The 19272-nt window shown below is 41.5% G+C and overlaps 2 protein-coding genes across 5 annotated transcripts in view, besides 1 other annotated feature; one reads left to right on the plus strand and one right to left on the minus strand.

The window, feature by feature from the left end:
* The window catches only part of SPATA22 (spermatogenesis associated 22), a 73840-nt gene that overhangs the window by 39435 nt on the left and 15133 nt on the right, over positions 1-19272 (minus strand). The window lies entirely within an intron of this gene.
* Positions 1-19272, plus strand: part of ASPA (aspartoacylase) — a 29296-nt gene that overhangs the window by 5344 nt on the left and 4680 nt on the right. For all 3 annotated transcript variants that reach the window (XM_017024661.2, NM_001128085.1, NM_000049.4), the window contains 4 exon segments: positions 2150-2345; positions 4046-4139; positions 9782-9889; positions 14897-15006. In XM_017024661.2, coding sequence (XP_016880150.1) covers positions 2150-2345; positions 4046-4139; positions 9782-9889; positions 14897-15006 — 508 coding nt within the window.
* Positions 3291-3836: an enhancer, noted in NCBI's record as "OCT4-NANOG hESC enhancer chr17:3386038-3386583 (GRCh37/hg19 assembly coordinates)". NCBI's record gives its function as "activates a minimal SCP1, AML or CMV promoter by ChIP-STARR-seq in primed H9 embryonic stem cells {active_cell/tissue: H9 hESC(primed)}" and the evidence as "EXISTENCE:reporter gene assay evidence [ECO:0000049][PMID:30033119]".

Below are 19272 nucleotides of genomic sequence, written 5' to 3' on the forward strand. Positions count from 1 at the left end.
ACAAATAAGGGTTTCTTGTTCACAAATAATAAGTCCAGAAGTAGGCTGTCCAGGGCTGATGGAGCGGCCACATGATATCATCAATGCCACAGGCTCCTTCTACCTTCCCACAGCACTGTCTCAACATGGCCCCTTCCACCTTCCCACTGCACCATCTCAACGTGGCCCTTTCCACCTTCCCCCTGCACCGACTCGACGTGGTCCCTTCTACCTTCCCAGTGCACTATCTCAAGATGCCGGCTTTGTCCTCATGGTTTTTGCTTCAAAGTCACAAAATAACTACTCCACCTTCCTGATCTCATTCCAGGCAGGAATTAGCCCATTGTACACAGTAGGTCCCTTGAAGATACTAGCAAAAATAACCAAGGAATACAAATAGATGGAATTTTAGGAAAATGTGGTTGAACGGTTTAATGAGGAAAAGTAAATGAAAAACATTATTATATCTAGAAAAAAAATGTATCTTAACCATTGTGGGAAGTGGGGAGAGGGTAGAGGCCCATTTGAGAATGGAAGAAAAACTACTGGCCCTTGTGCCAGAAAAAAAATACATATATCTGTACCTGCAAACTTGTGGCCTTTTTGGAGAGGTTAGACTCTGAAAACTCTGTCCCTGGACCTCTAGTGGTTCCTGGACCTCAATTAAGAATCTCTAATTAGGCCAGGTGTGGCTGCTCATACTTGTAATTCCAGCACTTTGGGAGGCCAAGGCAGGAGGATTGCCTGAGGCCAAGACTTCTGTAACCACCCAGCAAGTTCTCCTCATCCGCTGCCCAGACAGAGCTGATTTATCAAGACAAGGGAACTGCAATAAAGAGTTTAATTCACACAGAGCCGGCTGTACAGAAGGCCAGAGTTTTATTATTACTCAAATCAGTCTCCCCGAAAATTCAGACACTGGAATTTTTAAGGATAATTTGGTGGGTAGGGGGCCAGTGAGTCGGGAGTGCTGATTGATCAGATTGAAGGTAAAATCATAGGGAGTTGGAGCTGTCCTCTTGCGCTGAATCAGTTCCTACGTGGGGACCACGAGACCAGATAAGCCAGTTTATCCATCTGGGTGGTGCCAGCTGATCTGTCAACTCAGGGTTTACAAAATATCTCAAGCCCTGATCTTAGGTTTTACAATAGTGATGTTATCCCCAGGAGCAATTTCAGGAGGTTCAGAATCTTGCGGCCCTCCAGCTGCATGACTCCTAAACCATAATTTCTCATCTTGTGGCTAATTTGTTAGTCCTGCAAAGGCAGTCTAGTCCCCAGGTAGGAAGGGGGCTTGTTTTGGGAAAGGGCTGTTATCATCTTTGTTTCAAAGTTAAGCTGTAAGTTCCTCCCAAAGTTAGTTCAGTTTACACCCAGGCATGAACAAGGATAGCTTGGAGATTAGAAGCAAGATGGAGTCAGGTTAGATCTCTTTCATTGTAATAATTGTCTCAGTTATAATTTTTGCAAAGGCAGTTTTAGTTCAAGACCAGCCTGGGCAACAGAGCAAGACTGTATCTCCACAAAAGATAAGAAGATTAGCTGGGCATGGTGGCACGCACCTGTAGTTTCAGCAGCTACTCAGGAGGCTGAGATGGGAAGATTGCTTGAGCCCAGGAGTTTGAGGGTACAGTGATCCATAATTGGGCCACTGCACTCCAGCCTGGGCAACAGAGCAGAATCCTGTCTCAAAAAATTAAAAATTAAAATGATCTCTAATTAGATTATGTGAGCCCCTAAGTGACTATATTTGTGCACTAGAATTAGCTAAAGTGGGGGAAAAAAAGATGCATTTGATGGTCTAGTCCCATAATAAATAACCCAGTGTACCATAACTACTAAGAAACTGTTCATTAAATTAATGGATATGTTGCGTTCAAGATTGAAATCAAATGATAAATTCTGTTTGATATGTCCTATTCATGACCAGCCACATAAATGCACGTATTACTTCGCAAGCATGCCAATGCAACATTAGTTATATGGAATCAAATGAAGAAAAAGAATGTAAGTTTTCATATATAAACATTTCAGGTAAGTTTTTACTTACCACACAGATTTTTCATATTAAAGATTTGGCGACTGGTTCTTTTTACACTGTGTTCTTATTATATGTTTATATTATCTCAGGCACAGATGTTGTTCATCTTTTTCTTTCTGCTTATAACAGCAAAAAAATGTCAGAAGATTTGCCATATGAAGTGAGAAGGGCTCAAGAAATAAATCATTTATTTGGTCCAAAAGACAGTGAAGATTCCTATGACATTATTTTTGACCTTCACAACACCACCTCTAACATGGGGTGCACTCTTATTCTTGAGGATTCCAGGAATAACTTTTTAATTCAGATGTTTCATTACATTAAGGTAATGTTAATGTTATTAATTTATAAGTTAGCAAAGGACTTGTACTTTTAAGTCAATTATGGATGTGAGACAATCAGAAAACAGTTATGAGGGAAGGTGCAAGAGAAATGGGGTTTATTCCATAGCCAGGCTTGGTGGTTGGGGGGAAAGGGTGCTACCAGAACACAGAGGCAGTGGTGAGAGGAAGGAGAAAAAGAGAGGAAATAAGTAAAATAATAAACACAATTAATAAAGTAATAAAACACTTGTGGATTCTTGTGTCTATAAAATTACACGTTTTATCCAGACAGCCACCAGATGGTGGGGTATTTGTTAAAACCAAGTAAAATTAATATTAAAAGTTTAAATGGTATGGTCAATTTGTTAAAACCAAGTAAAATTAATATTAAAACTTTAAATGGTATGGGATCTCAATTACAAGGTTTTAGGAAACTTAAGAAATAGTCCTTTAACGTAGACTAAAGCCCAGTGATAAAAAGATTGCCTCCCTTTAGTCCTGCCCTCGTCCCCATTTGATTTAGACACCCCAGAATACGTCTAATCTTTCAGTACTTCATAATCATTTTAAGGCTCAGAAATCTCAGAGAAAATTTGCTAGAAAATAGCAACCAACCAGAAACACACATAAGGAACTGTATGCTTATTTCTGTGTACTAGATAGCCTTCCTTCCTGAGAGCAAGGATGATTGAGAGGAAAGAGTGTGGCCTGTGCTCAGATCCTGACTTTCTCCTTCACTAACCTTAGACAAAACACACCATTCCCAAAACCTTGCCTCCTTCATTTTATAAAATTGGTGTCATAACAAACAACACTTACCCATAAGGGTACTCAAAGCCTTAAATGACATAAAGTATTTAAAACATTTAGCCTCATACCTGGCCTATAGTAAAGATTATTATTTTTGTTTCCCTTCAGTTTTGGACAGTAACTGGGTAGTGGTCCTGGTAGGAGATCATAATGTAGCGATTCTTTTTTTTTTTAATTTTTTTTAAATTTTATTACTATTATACTTTAAGTTTTAGGGTACATGTGCACCATGTGCAGGTTTGTTACATATGTATACATGTGCCATGTTGGTGTGCCGCACCCATTAACTCGTCATTTAGCATTAGGTATATCTCCTAATGCTATCCCTCCCCCCTCCCCCCACCCCAATTCTTCATTGCCTATTGAAGAGAGAGCGGAATGCTTTGGTTGCCAGATATGGAAGCAGAATTGCTGACACTTTGTTATCCAAACCAAGAGGCCTGTCTTCAATTTTCATGCAGATAAGCAGGAGGAGGGGGAATCACCCAACATCTGTAGAGAGCTGGACCACAGGAATAGAAACAGAATTGTTTAAGAGACCAATACCAAGCTAAATAGTTAGTGTAACCAGTGATGAAACAAAAATCACCACATCCATTAAGAAAGAACATTTATTTCATGTTTTTTGATCATGGTTCTGGAGAACTATTTAATGTATATTTTACCTGGAAAGACACTGTATAATTCAATTGTATATGAATTTCATATTGTATAATTTATTTGTATGTTTTCAAAGCTATAATACCATTGGGTTTTAAAGTATTTCATAAAGCTGTCTTACCAATCTTAGTTGATGAAGTAAAACGTATTGAAGGTATTATTGACTCTGTTGAAGCAAAGAGAACAAAACATACGGTTTTTACCTAAGAAAGACGTTTTTGATTTTTTTCAGACTTCTCTGGCTCCACTACCCTGCTACGTTTATCTGATTGAGCATCCTTCCCTCAAATATGCGACCACTCGTTCCATAGCCAAGTATCCTGTGGGTAAGTCATAGTTCCCACTGTCATAACTCAATAAAATATGTCCTAGCTGAAACTCAGAGAAATTTATTTTTTATCTTATTTTATTTTTGAGACAGAGTCTTGCTCTGTCACCCAGGCTGGAGTCCGATGGTGTGATCTCAGCTCACTGCAACCTCTACCTCTCTGGTTCAAGTGATTCTCCTGCCTCAAGCTCCCTAGTAGCTGGGATTACAGGCATGTGCCACCCTGTAATTTTTGTATTTTTAGTACAGACGGAGTTTCACCATGTTAGCCAGGGCTGGCCTCAAACTCCTGACCTCAGGTGATGCACCTGCCTCAGCCTCCCAAAGTGCTGGGATTACAGGCATGAGTCACTGCCTGGCCGAGAAAATTATTTTTAAAAAAACATTTACAGCTACCTTCCATATCCTTAGGCTTATAATTGTCAAGTAACAAGCAATTTAGCTCCAGGCAGGCTCTAATTGTACCGAATTTCCCCAATTTCACTGAGCAGCTTTCTGGTTTTGTTCATGTTCCCTTTGCTGTAATGCTTGGCCCTTCTATTTAGTCTGGCACAATTCTTCTCATTCTCAAGATTCAGTTCACCTGTCACCTCCTATAGAACTTTCCCTGACCCTCCTCTATAGCATTAATTACTCCAGAAATGTGTACATTTGACTAATATTTATAGTGTGCCTACCAGAGACCAACCCTGTGCTAGGTGCGGGGGACAGAACAATGAGCAAGACACACAGTCTCCCCTCAAACAGCTTCGTATGTGATGAGAAAACAGACAGGTAACCAGGTAATCACTGCACAGAGTGATAAATGCTAAATAGGGGCAATTACAGGAGACTGGAAGAGCAGGAAAGACCTAACCCAGTCTTGATGGATCACAGAAGGCCCAAAGAAGTGGGATCCATCTTGAGGTTGTGTATGTGTATGTGTTTGGGGGAGGAAAGGAAAAAAATTGAGAGCAGTCAACAGGATTCTAGACAAGTGTCTTGAAATTATCTGTGATGAAAGGCCATTGCTGATTTCCAATCTGCTATAGAGCAATACTTTTGTAAAATGTAATTTAAAAATGGATTTCTAGAAAAACGATCACATACTTGAATATTTTAGCAATGTCAAATTGCTATAAAAGTTTCTAAACACTTACTTTAATTTCTGTACATATCTCGCCTGGGACCAGCAGCAGACAATTGGTGGACCAGTCCCTGTCCTCAGACAATACTTTGAGGAAAAAGGAATATCATATACAAGGGCCCCAAACCCCTAACTGATGACATGCCATACTTGATACACTGTGTTCTCCATTTATCTTAGCACTCTCTGTTCCCTATCCCCTTCTGCAGGCTGATAATGTATGCTTACTAAATATTAGCTCAAATTACCAGTAAGTACACAATTCTAACTTATAAATGATCATCATTCACAGTAGGGTTTTGTTTTGTTTTTTTTCTGGAAAAGGGTCTCACTCTGTTGCCCAGGCTGAGTGTAGTGGCACGATCACAGTTCACTGCAGCCTTGACCTCCTGGGCTCAGGCAATCCTCCCATCTCAGCCTCCCAAGTAGCTTGAACTACAGGCACGTGCCACCACATTCAGCTAATTTTTTATTTTTTGTAGAGACAGGATCTCAGTATGATCAGGTCTCAAACTCCTGATTCAAGCGATCCTCCCACCTTGGCCTCCCAAAGTGCTGGGATTACAAGCGTGAGCCACCACACCTGTACCTCATTCACAGTTTTAATCACACCTATCCCACACAGACTTATACAAACTTATCCATTCCTTCCCATGCAGGTTCTATAACTATAACCATATATAAAATACTAGCCAACCAGGAGAATCGCTTGAACCCCGGAGGTGGAGGTTGCAGTGAGCCGAGATCATGCCATTGCACTCCAGCCGGGGCAACAAAAGTGAAACTCCGTCTCAAAAAAACAAACAAACAAAAATACTAGCCATCTAACACTGGAAATACATACATTCATGAGCTTGTCCGGAGTGATCAGATTTGACTGGATCAGAAAGGCAAGGGATCTGTTTCTCCAAAGTGCTTGTGCTACCAGTGACCTACTCCAGGTTGTTTTCTGACCCTCTCCTTATCAAGACCTGTCAAAGATCTGAGAAATTTTACCCGACTTACAAGCTAACCATTAGCCTAGCACCTCTGAGTGGATGCCAGTAGAAGACACAAGACTCCTAAAACAGAGACAAAGAATAGATTATTGACAGTAGTAATAGCAGAGTGTCAGCATTTCTGCACCATTACCCAAGCTCCAGTTCCCACAGGGTGACATAGAGAGAGCCAGATGGCAGCTATCCATGCCAGTGGTTGCATTCTAGGAGGGAACCTTTTTTTTTTTTTTTGAGACGGAGTTTCGCTCTTGTTGCCAAGGCTGGAGTACAGTGGCACAATCTCGGCTCACTGCAACCTCCGCCTCCTGGGTTTAAGCAATTCTCCTGCCTCAGCCTCCTGAGTAGCTGGGATTACAGGTGCCCACCACCATACCCAGCAAATTTTTTGCATTTTTAGTAGAGACAGGGTTTCATCATGTTGGCCAGGCTGGTTTCGAACTTCTGACCTCAGGTGATCCACCCGCCTCGGCCTCCCAAAGTGCTGGGATTACAGGCGTGAGCCACCGCACCCGGCTGTGAACCTTCATTTTTATAATGGGCAGTAGGCACGAGTGCCCTTTGCTCCAGGGAAGACCCCATTCCTAACTTCCAAGGCTGTTCACTATACAGACATCCTTGAAAAGATCATCTGGAACAAAAATAGTCCGTGTCTTGCTCATGAGACTTGCAGATATGCAGAAGATCCATGAAGAATCCTCTCTCCACATCCCTCTTACCACCTGCTTTGCAATAGACATTTCACGAGCTGTTTGTCATCTATTCACTTGTTTATCCTGCCAGTTACTAGGCTGTGACTTCATCTTTACCTTCTGGTAACTTCCAACATGCAGCCCCACACTCTCACACACCCTCTCAAACACCCTCTTTCTTCTCTAGTCCATTCTCTTTCTTGAGCGCCTCATTAGCATAATTAATTATCTGCAGACTACACTACAATTAAAATTACAACTTAAAATATTTTTTGTTAAATCTCAGATGGTTTAGCCAGGAGTAATGTAATTTAAAAGCAGGTTGGCAAACAATATAAATAAATTAAAATCTAAAATTATTCTGGAAATTCAAGTAGTGATACTTTTGTGCATAATAAAAGGATCTTTATATGCCATCTTTGGTGGCCCTATTGTCCAAACCAAAAATTAATTTTTCGATACAAGATCTCATATCAGAGCAGAATATTTAGATTGTAGGACATGGCTATGGCAGAGTCAGGGGTGGCGTTGAATGAATAATAATTACACAAATAACTTTCCTAAGTCTCAAATGAGACCACGGTTAATCTGAGAAAGTTAGGAGAGGGCTGTGTCCAGTCGCTTTCCCATATTTGTGTGTGTGTGTGTGTTTATGTGTGTGTGTGCGTGTGTGTGTGTGATCATAAGAGTGGCTGCAGCAAACTGCTTCTTTCTAGGATAAGGTTTGCCTAGAATGATCCTGTCACATTTCTTCTTCCTTGAGAACAGAGTACAAAGGTGGTCCTTGTAGGTGCCTACTAGAAGTTAAAGCAAAATTTGTATGCAGCAATATTCTTAGTGTATTATAAAATGTTGACTCAGAAAGATTGTCTCTCTAATGTTAAACATGCTTTTTTCCCAGTGAGTGCATGATATAAAATATTCCAAATAAAACAGCAAAGTTGGAAGGAGAACATATAACATTTCTAATTATTTACAATGAGCTTAATACTCCCTCATATTGAAATATTTTAAAGATTTGGCTCAACTTGTAAGGGCCAAACATATCAGCAATGTTTGTTCTGGCTAAGAGTAGCATTGCCTACAAATATCATAGCCTAAGATTGATATTTGAGAGTTTGGAAATCTTAAGCTTTTATTTGGTGTCACAGAGAAACAGGATCTGTATCTCTTATTGCTAAGCCTTTGATTTGTTTCAGCTAATTGCCTGTATTTGGATATTTAGCTTACTCTAATTCCTTACTTCAAGTATTGATACTTTTGTGCATAATAAAGATTCCTTCATTCTTAAATCATTGACTAGGGGATTATTATGATTGACTTAAACTATTCAACATTTACTCTTGAAATGGAGAGAAATTTACCTACCTTGAAGATTGGAAGCCCAACTAATATCAGGATTCTATTAGAAACAGGAGGAAAGTGAAATGGATTTGGGGTAGGCAAACGACAATGTATTCTATAGTATTCCTACAGACATATCTACAAACACACTTTTTCACATATTTGTGTAAGTCATTTATGCACAGATGCATACCTTAGCCACATTTATGACACCATATACTTAAATATATGTTCATACATATATGCAAGAAACCTAAGCACAACAAATAAAAAATGATGCAAGAGAATAAGATAAGATTTTGTGTATTGGGAAATAACAGAAGCGGGTGAAAACAAGATGAGTGTAAAAGAATGCAGTATGTTAATGGGATGGAAGAGAATGAGGGTAGTGCAGTTGGGGTAAATGGTTTGCCAAATAGAGAAGGTGATGACTGGGGAGATGACTTTGTGGGAGACTTGAACAGGAAGGAAGGGTCTACAAAAGTAGTTTAAAGAAAGAGTATTTTGTAGATGTAAGGATGGATGCTTAACAGCCACACAAAGTAGACCTAATAGTACAGGCATCATTTCATATGAGTTAGAAGAAATGAACACAAGTTTTTTCCTGCATAAAATTAAAACCAGGCCAAGCACGACGGCTCACGCCTGTAATCCCAGCATTTGGGGAAGCCGAGAAGGGCAGATTACCTGCGGTCAGGAGTTTGAGACCAGCCTGACCAACATGGTGAAACCCTGCCTCTACTAAAAATATAAAAATAAGCCAGGAATGGTGGCCCGTGCCTGTAATCCCAGCTACTCGGGAGGCTGAGGCAGAAGAATCGCTTGAACCTGGGAGGCAGAGGTTGCAGTGAGCAGAAATCACACCACTGTACTCCAGCCTGGGTGACAGAGTGAGACTCTGTCTCGAAAAAATAAATAAATAAATAAAACCATTGCACTATTGTGTTAGGATGGATTGCTAGGTTAAGGGCAAAATCATTGCTCAAGGGTCACATAGATTGTCATATTGACTGAAATCCATGATTCATCTAGTCTGGATTTCTGTGAAATCTATAAAAATAGATGTCCTTCCTCCCGTCACAGCTAAATGTTAGATCTTAACAGTTTCTCTTCAGGTCCACCTATTATTTTGTCAGCATAAACTTGTTCACCTTTTTTACTATGTTATGACTTTTAAATATTTTAGCAATACTGAAGGAAATTTAAAGAAAAAAGACCACAAGAGTTTCCTATTTCTAACACCACTGATTTTTTCCATGTTCTTTCCCAGTCTTTATTCACTATGCATCTAACTTAAACATGTAAATGTTCTGCTTCACGTTTTGCCAAACATTATGTCTCAAATATTTTCCATGATGCTACATGGTTTACCTTTTTAATAATTTTAACAACATAATTCTAAATCTTGATACATTAAAATGCTTAGTTTTATAATATATTTTCATACTTATATAAATGTGACTATCTCTCCTTCTGTACCTAGGTATAGAAGTTGGTCCTCAGCCTCAAGGGGTTCTGAGAGCTGATATCTTGGATCAAATGAGAAAAATGATTAAACATGCTCTTGATTTTATACATCATTTCAATGAAGGTAAGTAATAATGAAGGTAACGTTATCAAACTTAACCACCAAACATTTAAATAACAATTGGAACCTGGGTCAGATTTGCCATGCTAAAGATATGAAGTGCTTTTTAAAATTTTTATTCACTTCAGCTATTCCCCAATGGCCAGGATAGACACATTCAAGAAAAGCAGCTGCCAAATAAAGACTCCACATTAAATCCTTATTTCCTGCTAATCTCCATTTTAAAAAGAAAAGACGAGAAAATACAAATGCCCAGTAAACATATGAAAAGATGTTCAACATCACTAGTAATTAGAGAAATGCAAATTAAAATAAGAAGTCACTTCCCCCATTAAGTTGGGAAAATATTAAAGTCTGCAAATATCAAGCGTTGGTAAATGTGTAGGAAAAGGGGAAACTCTCATTACCTGCTGGTGAACATATAAGTGAACATATAAGTTGGTAAAGACATTTTAGAGGATAATCTTACAGCATCCACTTCTTAAAACACACCAATCTTATTACCCAGCGATTCCACATCTCAAAGAAACACAAGCACAAGCAACATGTTGTTTACAAAGATTGTTATCGTGCATCATTTATAACAGCAAAAGAATGGAAACAGCATGAATGTCCACCTGTTGGTGGAGAGTTAAATAAACTAACATGGAAGAATCTTCAAAACACAATGGTAATTAGCAGAAAGCAAGTTGCAGACCAAGACATTCAGTACACCAATTGGCTTTAAAATAACAATAATAATCATCACCTTCTAGGATACATATATATGTTAACACATCACAGGGAAAGTCCTAGAAGAAAACACACCAAACTGATAACAATAGTTACCGGGGACGGGAGGCAAAACCCAGGCTAATTTTGTCTTAATTATATTCAATAAGAATAATGTATTTATGTATTATTTCTGTAATTAAAAATTAATTAAACGGGGACTGGTGGACAAGGTGGGTATATGCAGCTCTATGCACTATCTGCTCATTTATTTGGTAAATCTAAAACTGCACTAAAAAGTCTATTAGTTATAAAAAAAGTTTACTTTAAAATGGAAAATAGTTGCTTAAAATCAAAGAGACATTCTATGTAAACAATTATTCCAACAGACTGAGTTGAAATTGTTGTTGAGGAATGGGCAATTATAATAACAGAGGGGGTGTGTACTTCGGTGTCTGTGGGGAGTGAATTCCTCAACCTCAGATCGTGCGCACCCCACTGCAATCACAGACATTCGTTTTGTGCTTGGGAATCCTTTGACTCCAAAATCATGAAAACTGAAAATTTGCTTTTTACCATCTTTGTCTGAGGGCAGGTTCTATACTGTCTAATGGAACTGGTTTTGAGAAGATCACAACATACTTACAATAAACCCTCTGAATAGGAAGTGTGGGACTACAATATATTAAGAAGTGATACATTCAGATAGAAGGCCACAAATCTGGGTGGAAAACGTGGTTGGTTTTCAGATCATAGTCCATAGAATCCTATCACAACGGTGGAGAAAAGCAGTTCCTGGAACACCCCACCCCTTAACCCCTTATCTCTGCTTCAACCAGAGCTCTTCTGTGTAACATTTCATTTAAGCAAAGGATTCGGCAAATCAAAAATTGTCAACCACGATTAATTTAGACTATCCAGCTTGGTGGATTTTCAACTGAGCACTCCTATCCACAGAATGCTGACAAATGAATCATAGCCGCCATGTGAAAAGTCTGAAGAAGTGTGTAGAAGGGCTTCATTCTTGACTCTGTCCTACTCAGAACTGTAGTTAGTGACTTGGATAAAGACATATGCGACATGCTTAGCTAAGTGACAGGTCTCAGGAAGATAGCAGGAAAACATCCTGGTTGAGAAGGCAGATCCAAGAAGTCCTGACAATCTTTAACAATTGTTTAAACCAAATGTTTAAGGTTAACAACATCAGGGACCAAAGTTTTGTTCTTATGTTTAAAAAAAATCCCAGAATAAGGGAGGTAATGGTCTTTTTTTTCTGCCTTGAATAAACAACACTTGAGAACTGTAAATAAATTCTGAGTCCGTAATCCAGGAGAAACATCTATAAAGAGGAATTTAGCCAAGGAGAGCATTGAGAATGTTGAAGAGCTTGAAAATCATAATGAGAATAATTCCTGGCCAGGCGCGGTGGCTCATGCCTGTAATCCTTGCACTTTGGGAGGCTGAGGCAGGCAGATCACTTGAGGTCAGGAGTTCAAGACCAGTCTGGGCAACATGGGGAAAACCTTGTCTCTACTAAAAATGCAAAAATTAGCTGGGTGTGGTGGCATGCGCCTATAATTCCAGCTACTCCGAAGGCTGAGACATGAGAATCGCTTGAACCAAGGAGGCAGAGATTGCAGTGAGCCGAGTTCATGCCACTGCACTCCAGCCTCGGTGACAGAGTGAGACTGTCTCAAAAAAAAAAAAGAAAGAAAGAAAGAAGTCTACATTAGAAAGAAATTCAACACATTTTCTGTGACCCAGAGGGCAGAAGAGAATCAATGAGATAAAGTTATCTAGAGACAGAAATTTTTTTCTTTTGTTTTCTTTTTTTTTTTTTTTTTTGAGACAGGGTCTCACTCTGTTGCCTAGGCTGGAGTGCAGTGGTCCAATCACAGCTCAATGGAGCCTCAAGTTCCTGGGCTCAAGCAATCCTCCCACCCAGCCTCCTGAGTTGCTGGGACTACAGGCGTGCACCACCACACCTGGCTAATTTCTGTGGTTTTTGTAGAGACAGGGTTTTGCCACGTTGCCCAGGCTGGTCTTGAACTCCTGAGCTCAAGCAATCTGCCTGCCTCGGCTTCCCAAAGCATTGGGGTTACAGGCCTGCGCCATTGCGCCTGGCGAGACAGAAATTTCTTATTAAAAAAGCTGAGCAGCAATGAAACGGGCCACACTTTTTGAGGCTGTAAGAAGTCATCTTCTGCATCTGTAAGATGGCCAGAACAATACGGAGAATACTCAAACATAGATGGAAGTTAGGCTTTCAAGACTCCTTCCAACTGTAAGTAGCAAAAACATACTCCTTTGTGTTCTATCAGTTTTTACTTTCTTCCTATCCAACTTTTTGGTTTAAAGAAATGAGATCTGGTAAGTTCCCATCTTCATCTTGGAAGGTGTGGTAGATTTTAATTCTTCCCTTTCCCGCGTCCACATCCTGGCAGTGTGATGTTTCATATCCTTCTGTTCAGAGATAGAGTCTATTTTTCCACTTCTGGAATAGCTGGCTTGCCCATGTGAATTGTTTTGTGCCATAGAAGAGGCTTGAAAAGCACTTGCACATTGGAGCTTGCTCTCTTCCTGCTCTTGGAAACCCTGTACGTGTACCATTATGTACAACAGCCCACATTGGCCTGCTGGATAATGAAAGCCTTTGAGGTGGAAAACTCAGGCACCCTAACAGACAGAGTCATGCAACTCCAGCTGACAGCCCATCAGACATAACAGTAAGGCCATCCCATAGGATCCAGCCTCCAGGTGAGCTGTCAGCTTACCACAAAGGCAGGAGCAAAACAATAAAAAAAATCCACAAAGCCAGTGTAGACGGAAGAAACTTTCCAACCAACCCACAGAATCATGAACTAAATTAGGAGGTGGTTGTTTGAAGCCACTAAATTCTGGGGTAGTATGTTATGCAGCAGAAGCTAACTGATACAGAAGTGATCACTGGGCATACCCATTCTAACTCTGCTCTAAAAGCAAAGGAAGGCTTTCCTTTGAGTTGTGACCATAACACGCTGTGGGCCCTACATTGGACCAAACGTTCATCCTGTTTGCTCAGAGATAGCCTGGTATATGCATAAACTACTCCTTTTCCAAGTTTCTGGGAATTGGGTTGAGGTTGCTGCATCTTTGGAAGTTGGTCTCCACCACTGGCAGGCTGCCTGCATCACAAGATCTCATTACTCAGGAGCTGTCCAAGTGTCTAATGTACTTAGTTAAGAAAAAGAGGCTGGGCATGGTGGCTCACGCCTGTAATCCCAGCACTTGGGGAGGCTGAGGCGGGCGGATCACAAGGTCAAGAAATCGAGACCATCCTGGCCAACATGGTGAGACCCCATCTCTACTAAAAATACAAAAATTAGCCGGGCGTGGTGGTGCATGCCCATAGTCCCAGCTACTCAGGAGGCTGAGGCAGGAGAATCGCTTGAACCCGGGAGGTGGAGGTTGCAGTGAGCCAAGACCACGCCACTGCACTCCAGCCTGGGTGAAAGAGCGAGGTTCCATCTCAAAAAAAAAAAAAAAAAAAAAAAGGAAAGAAAAAGAGCACGATACTGAAGTCACCTCAGTTGCTGGAACTCCTCCTGAAAATATGCAGTCATAAAACATCATAGCTGGAAGGGTCCTCCAAGATAAGCTAATCCAATACCTTCATTTGACAGGTCAAGAAAGCGAGCCTCAAGAAGTTAAGCATCTTGTTCAAGGCCGCATAGCCAGGGGATTAGAGCCCAGGTCTCCTGACCCCTAAACCTAGATTCTTTTTCTCTCAAACTGGCTTTTTCAGTTCTGTTTTCTACCTCTGGCCGTCGGCGTGTTTGTGGACAGAGTGCTGATAGGAATCATTCAAGGACATCTTTTGGCCTAGTGCTGTTTATGAACATCCTTAACTAAACGTTATCTGTTCTCCCCATAGCTGTCTTCATTTTGTTATTGTTGCTGTTGTTATTATTGTTTCTTCCTTACATTGTTAACTTCCCTTTTTCCAGATTTTTTTTTTTTTTTTGAGACAGAGTTTCACTCTTGTTGCCCAGGTTGGAGTGCAATGGCTTACTGCAACCTCCACCTCCCAGGTTCAAGAGATTCTCCTGCCTCAGCCTCCCAAGTAACTAGGATAATCCCAACCTGGGTATTTTTAGTGGAGATGGGGTTCACCATGTTGGCCAGGCTGTTCTCGAACTCCTGACCTCAGGTGATCCACCCAACTCGGCCTCCCAAAGTGCTGGGATGACAGGCATGAGCCACCACACCCGGCCCAGAGATGTTTTTAGTTGCCATTGATACATATTGTTTTTGTCATAGGAAAAGAATTTCCTCCCTGCGCCATTGAGGTCTATAAAATTATAGAGAAAGTTGATTACCCCCGGGATGAAAATGGAGAAATTGCTGCTATCATCCATCCTAATCTGCAGGTAACATTTGTTCTTTCTTTAAAATGTTGAAAATAATAATGCTGTACCTTTGAATAGAAGTTTATAGCTCATACAGCACTTCGCGTACATTCGCCCATTTGATGCTCTCATTAGACACTGAGTGTAGATAGGGAAGATGTTCGGACTGTCGCTCAATAAATACTTATTCAGTGTAACCTGTGCTGGCTGTGTGGACACACCAGTAAGTATGGCCTGCACGCTCAATGGAATTTATAGTGTAGGTACACAAAAGTCTAACTTTAGTCTAGAAATGAAGACAGCCAGATGAGATGACAGAATAATGAGATGGGAGAGGAGTGGTCAGACAAGGCCACTTAGAGAAAGTGAAACTCCTACCCACATTCAGCGGGTGGGAATTATGATGTCTATTTTAATATAAGGAAATACAGGGACGGAAGTTAGAACCTTCCCACAGCCATGTAGCTATCAATGACAGATCCAGAGTTAGTGCTCTTTCAAGTTGGCCGCATCACTTGCTACCTCCCTGTGACAGAATAAGTTAGAGAAAAACGACTGGAACCTCTTTCTTCTGCCACCATTCCCCAACTCTCCTCAGAACCCCCAGAATCTACTCCTTGCCTAGTTTTATCAATAATGACATAGTGAAGAAGGAAAAAAAAAAGGCTCTTGAGAGAATGTAGGAGGTTTAAATCCGGAAAAGGCAAAGGGAAAAGGAGAGAAGAACAGATTTCCAAAGCCAAAGTATCCATTCCCCAGTGCAAGTGGCCTGCACACTCCCAGACCTCAGAGATGGAAGAGAACTGGTGGATTATCTAGTCCAGGGCTTTCAACCCCGACTAACCTTTACCTAGAGAGCTTTTAAAAAACATCATAATAGCAATGGCAGGACTCCACTCTGAGATACTCTGATCTTTTTGGCTTGGATAATCAGGATTGAAAAACACTGATTGATCCAGTTCCTATCCCTGTTTAGTGACTCTAATAGTCATCCAGACTTGCAACTGAATGAAGTGGCCTGCCCAGTAATACAGACGAGTGAAGCAAATCCTGCTTTGTGGCTTAATGGGACCCAGGTGGAAACCTGAAGAAGCAGCCTTAGGCAGTGTTTGTTTTTGTTTTTGTTTTTGTTTTTGTTTTTGTTTTTTGAGATGGAGTCTCGCTCTGTCGCCCAGGCTGGAGTGCAGTGGTGCAATCTCAGCTCACTGCAAGCTCCACCTCCCGGGTTCAAGCAATTCTCCTGCCTCAGCCTCCCGAGTAGCTGGGATTACAGGCTCACGTCACCACACCCGGCTAACTTTTGTATTTTTAGTGGAGATGGGGTTTCACCATGTTGGCCAGGATGGTCTCAATCTCCTGACATCATGATCCACCTGCCTCGGCCTCCCAAAGTGGTGGGATTACAGGCATGAGCCACCTTGCCCAGCCTTAAGCAGTGTTTTAAAGGAAAGGTAAAGACTGGGGGAGAGAAAGGAAGAAAGCACTATTGGTGACAAAAATATCAAGTACAAGAAACAGAGGCCAAGGTGATGATATCATGGCAGGCTAAAACAGGATTTTTCAGGTTTTAGGATACTCTTGAGGAGTACAAAAATAATCCCAGGCAGACGGAGAAGTGAGATGAATGAGATCAGTAGCAAACTGGGCTAGTGGTAGGTCTCGAAAGTTAGGAAGGATGGTTTTGATTTGACAGACAATAATGAATGGCTCAGTATTCTACAGGAGGGATTGATTGGTTAATTCTGCCAACAAATATTTTTGAATGACAACTAAGCTCATTCTGGGCCTTGAGATTCAAGATAGGGAAGGTTCCTCATGGAGCTTCCATCCCAATGGGTGAGGAGAACTGACCATGAATAAGTAAACAATATGTAAACCAAATCATTTCAAACTGTAATAAGTGCTGTAAAAGAAATACACAAAATAATATAGCAGAGGGTATAACAAAGGGTTCCAATTAGACGGAGTGGTCACAAAGTGCCATCTCAGAGATGGTGGCACTGAAGTTGGAACCTAGAAGATGAGAAGCCAGCCATGTGGAAGGCAAGTGAGAGGCCCTGAGGCTGGAACAAACTTGGAGCATCTGAGGAACAGCAAGAAGACCCATATCCCTGGAGAGGAGGAGTGAGCAGAGGACGGTAGAGCCTGGAGAAAACACAGTTCAGGACCCGGTTATGAGTCTAGATTTTGTCCTAAGAATGACAGTTCTTACTAAGGGATGCTAACTGGAATCACGTAGGGGACCCCCTCCCAGTGCCTAGAACCCACCACAAACTACTAAAGTAGCGCTTCTCAAACTTGAGCCACATGACAATTATGGGGAGCTTTTTAAAAATGCTGATTCCTGGCCAGGAGCGGTGGCTCACGCCTGTAATCCCAGCGCTTTGGGAGGCCGAGGCGGGCGGATCACGCGGTCAGGAGATCGAGACCATCCTGGCTAACACGGTGAAACCCCATCTCTACCAAAAATACAAAAAATTAGCCGGGCATGGTGGCAGGCGCCTGTAATCCCAGCTACTCGGGAGCCTGAGGCAGGAAAATTGCTTGAACTCGGGAGGTGAAGGTTGCAGTGAGCTGAGATTGTGCCACTGCACTCCAGCCTGGACAGAGCTGAGATTACGTCTAAAAAGAAAAAGAAAAAATGCTGATTTCTGAGTCCTCTTCCCAGGGGCTCTGATCTAATTCATCAGGGTGTAGACAGGGAATCAATTGAGTTCACCAGGTGATTTTCATGTGGCTCAGGTCTGGATAGCACTGCACAATGTCGGAATCTCCACAGGTGGGGCTAGCCAGACGTGTGTTGAAGAGGTTCCTTTAGTGATTCTGGGGCAAGTCTCTGCCTGAAAAACCACCGGTTCAGAGAAATAGTTCTCAGCCGAGCCACCCTGTAAATCATCTGGGGCCTAAATACAATAAACACAGAAAACAGTGAACTATAAATGGGTAGCATGAGGGATTCGAGGAGGTGGCTGAAAGAAGCACGTATCCTGATGGCATGGTTGCGGGTTATATGACTCCATGCTCTGCAAGTCAGAACTCATAGAACTGCACACAAAAATGAGCGAATTTCACTGTAGGTAAATTTAAAAATAAAATATAAAAATAATGATGCCTAGGCCCTCCTCTCAGATTCTGATTTGATTTATCTGAAATGGGCCAGCCCCTCTACCTGTATATATGTATTTAACATCCCAAGCGATCATAATGTGCCACCAGGATGGAGAAAACTGCGGTGATGCGGCACTTCCCAAACACTAATGTCGTGCACGTGAACGTCAAGGACCTGTTAACATGAAGATTTTGATTTGGTAGGTCTGCTGCGCATAATGAAATCCTGCTTTTCTAACAGGCTCCTGGGTGATGCGGATGCTGCTGGGAAATGTTAGACATGCAGAATCCCAGGCCCCCACCCCCAACCTATAGAATCAGAATCTTCATCTTAACAAAATCCCCAGATGATTTACAAGCACCTCAAAGTTTGAGAAGAACTGTTCTGGGGTTCCCGTGGTGTGACAGCCATGGTGCTTGAGGGCTCAAAGGTCCAAATCCCTGGTGCGGGACCCTTCAGATAACTCAGTTGTTACCCTAATGTAGGAGCACATTTGGAATACACCCACCTTGTCCCAGACTCTCCCCAGCCCAGCACCACCTTCTCTCACCAATCCCCGTCAGAATAGAATCTCCTTGTATGCAGGTACAACATGGCTCATTTTTATATTTCCCAACGGTAGAATGTCTTGCACACAGAAGACTCCTAATGGATATTTCCTAAATTTTGCTGAACAGAATTTAACTTGAGCTGGCAACAGGCAGACTATGCACTTAGGTAGACATGCATTTAGTTTTGCCTTTTAATATTATAAATCTCTTTGGCTACATTCAAGGTAAACCTGGTATTGAAGCAAACTCTTTTTTATTTTTTTTTAGAGACAGGGTTTCATTCTGTCACCCAGGCTGGAGTGCAGTGGTGTGAACATAGCTCACTGTAGCCTCAACCTCTGGGGGCTTGAGCAATCCTCCCACCTCAGCCTCCTGAGTATCTGGGACTACAGGCATGCACCACCACACCCAGCTAATTTTTCGTATTTTTTCTAGAGATAGGATCTCTGTGTTGCCCAGGCTGGTTTTGAACTCCTAGGCTCAAGCGATCCACCCACATTGGCCTCCCCAAGTGCTGGGATTACAGGCAAGGAGCCACTGCACCTGGCTGAAGCAAATGTTAATTACACGTTTCAATTATACAAATGCAAAGGGGAACTCTTAAAACTACTGCCAAAATTCACGACC

This window comes from Homo sapiens, chromosome 17 (genome assembly GCF_000001405.40).
Source record: "Homo sapiens chromosome 17, GRCh38.p14 Primary Assembly".
In the NCBI taxonomy this organism is placed as follows: Eukaryota; Metazoa; Chordata; class Mammalia; order Primates; family Hominidae; genus Homo; species Homo sapiens.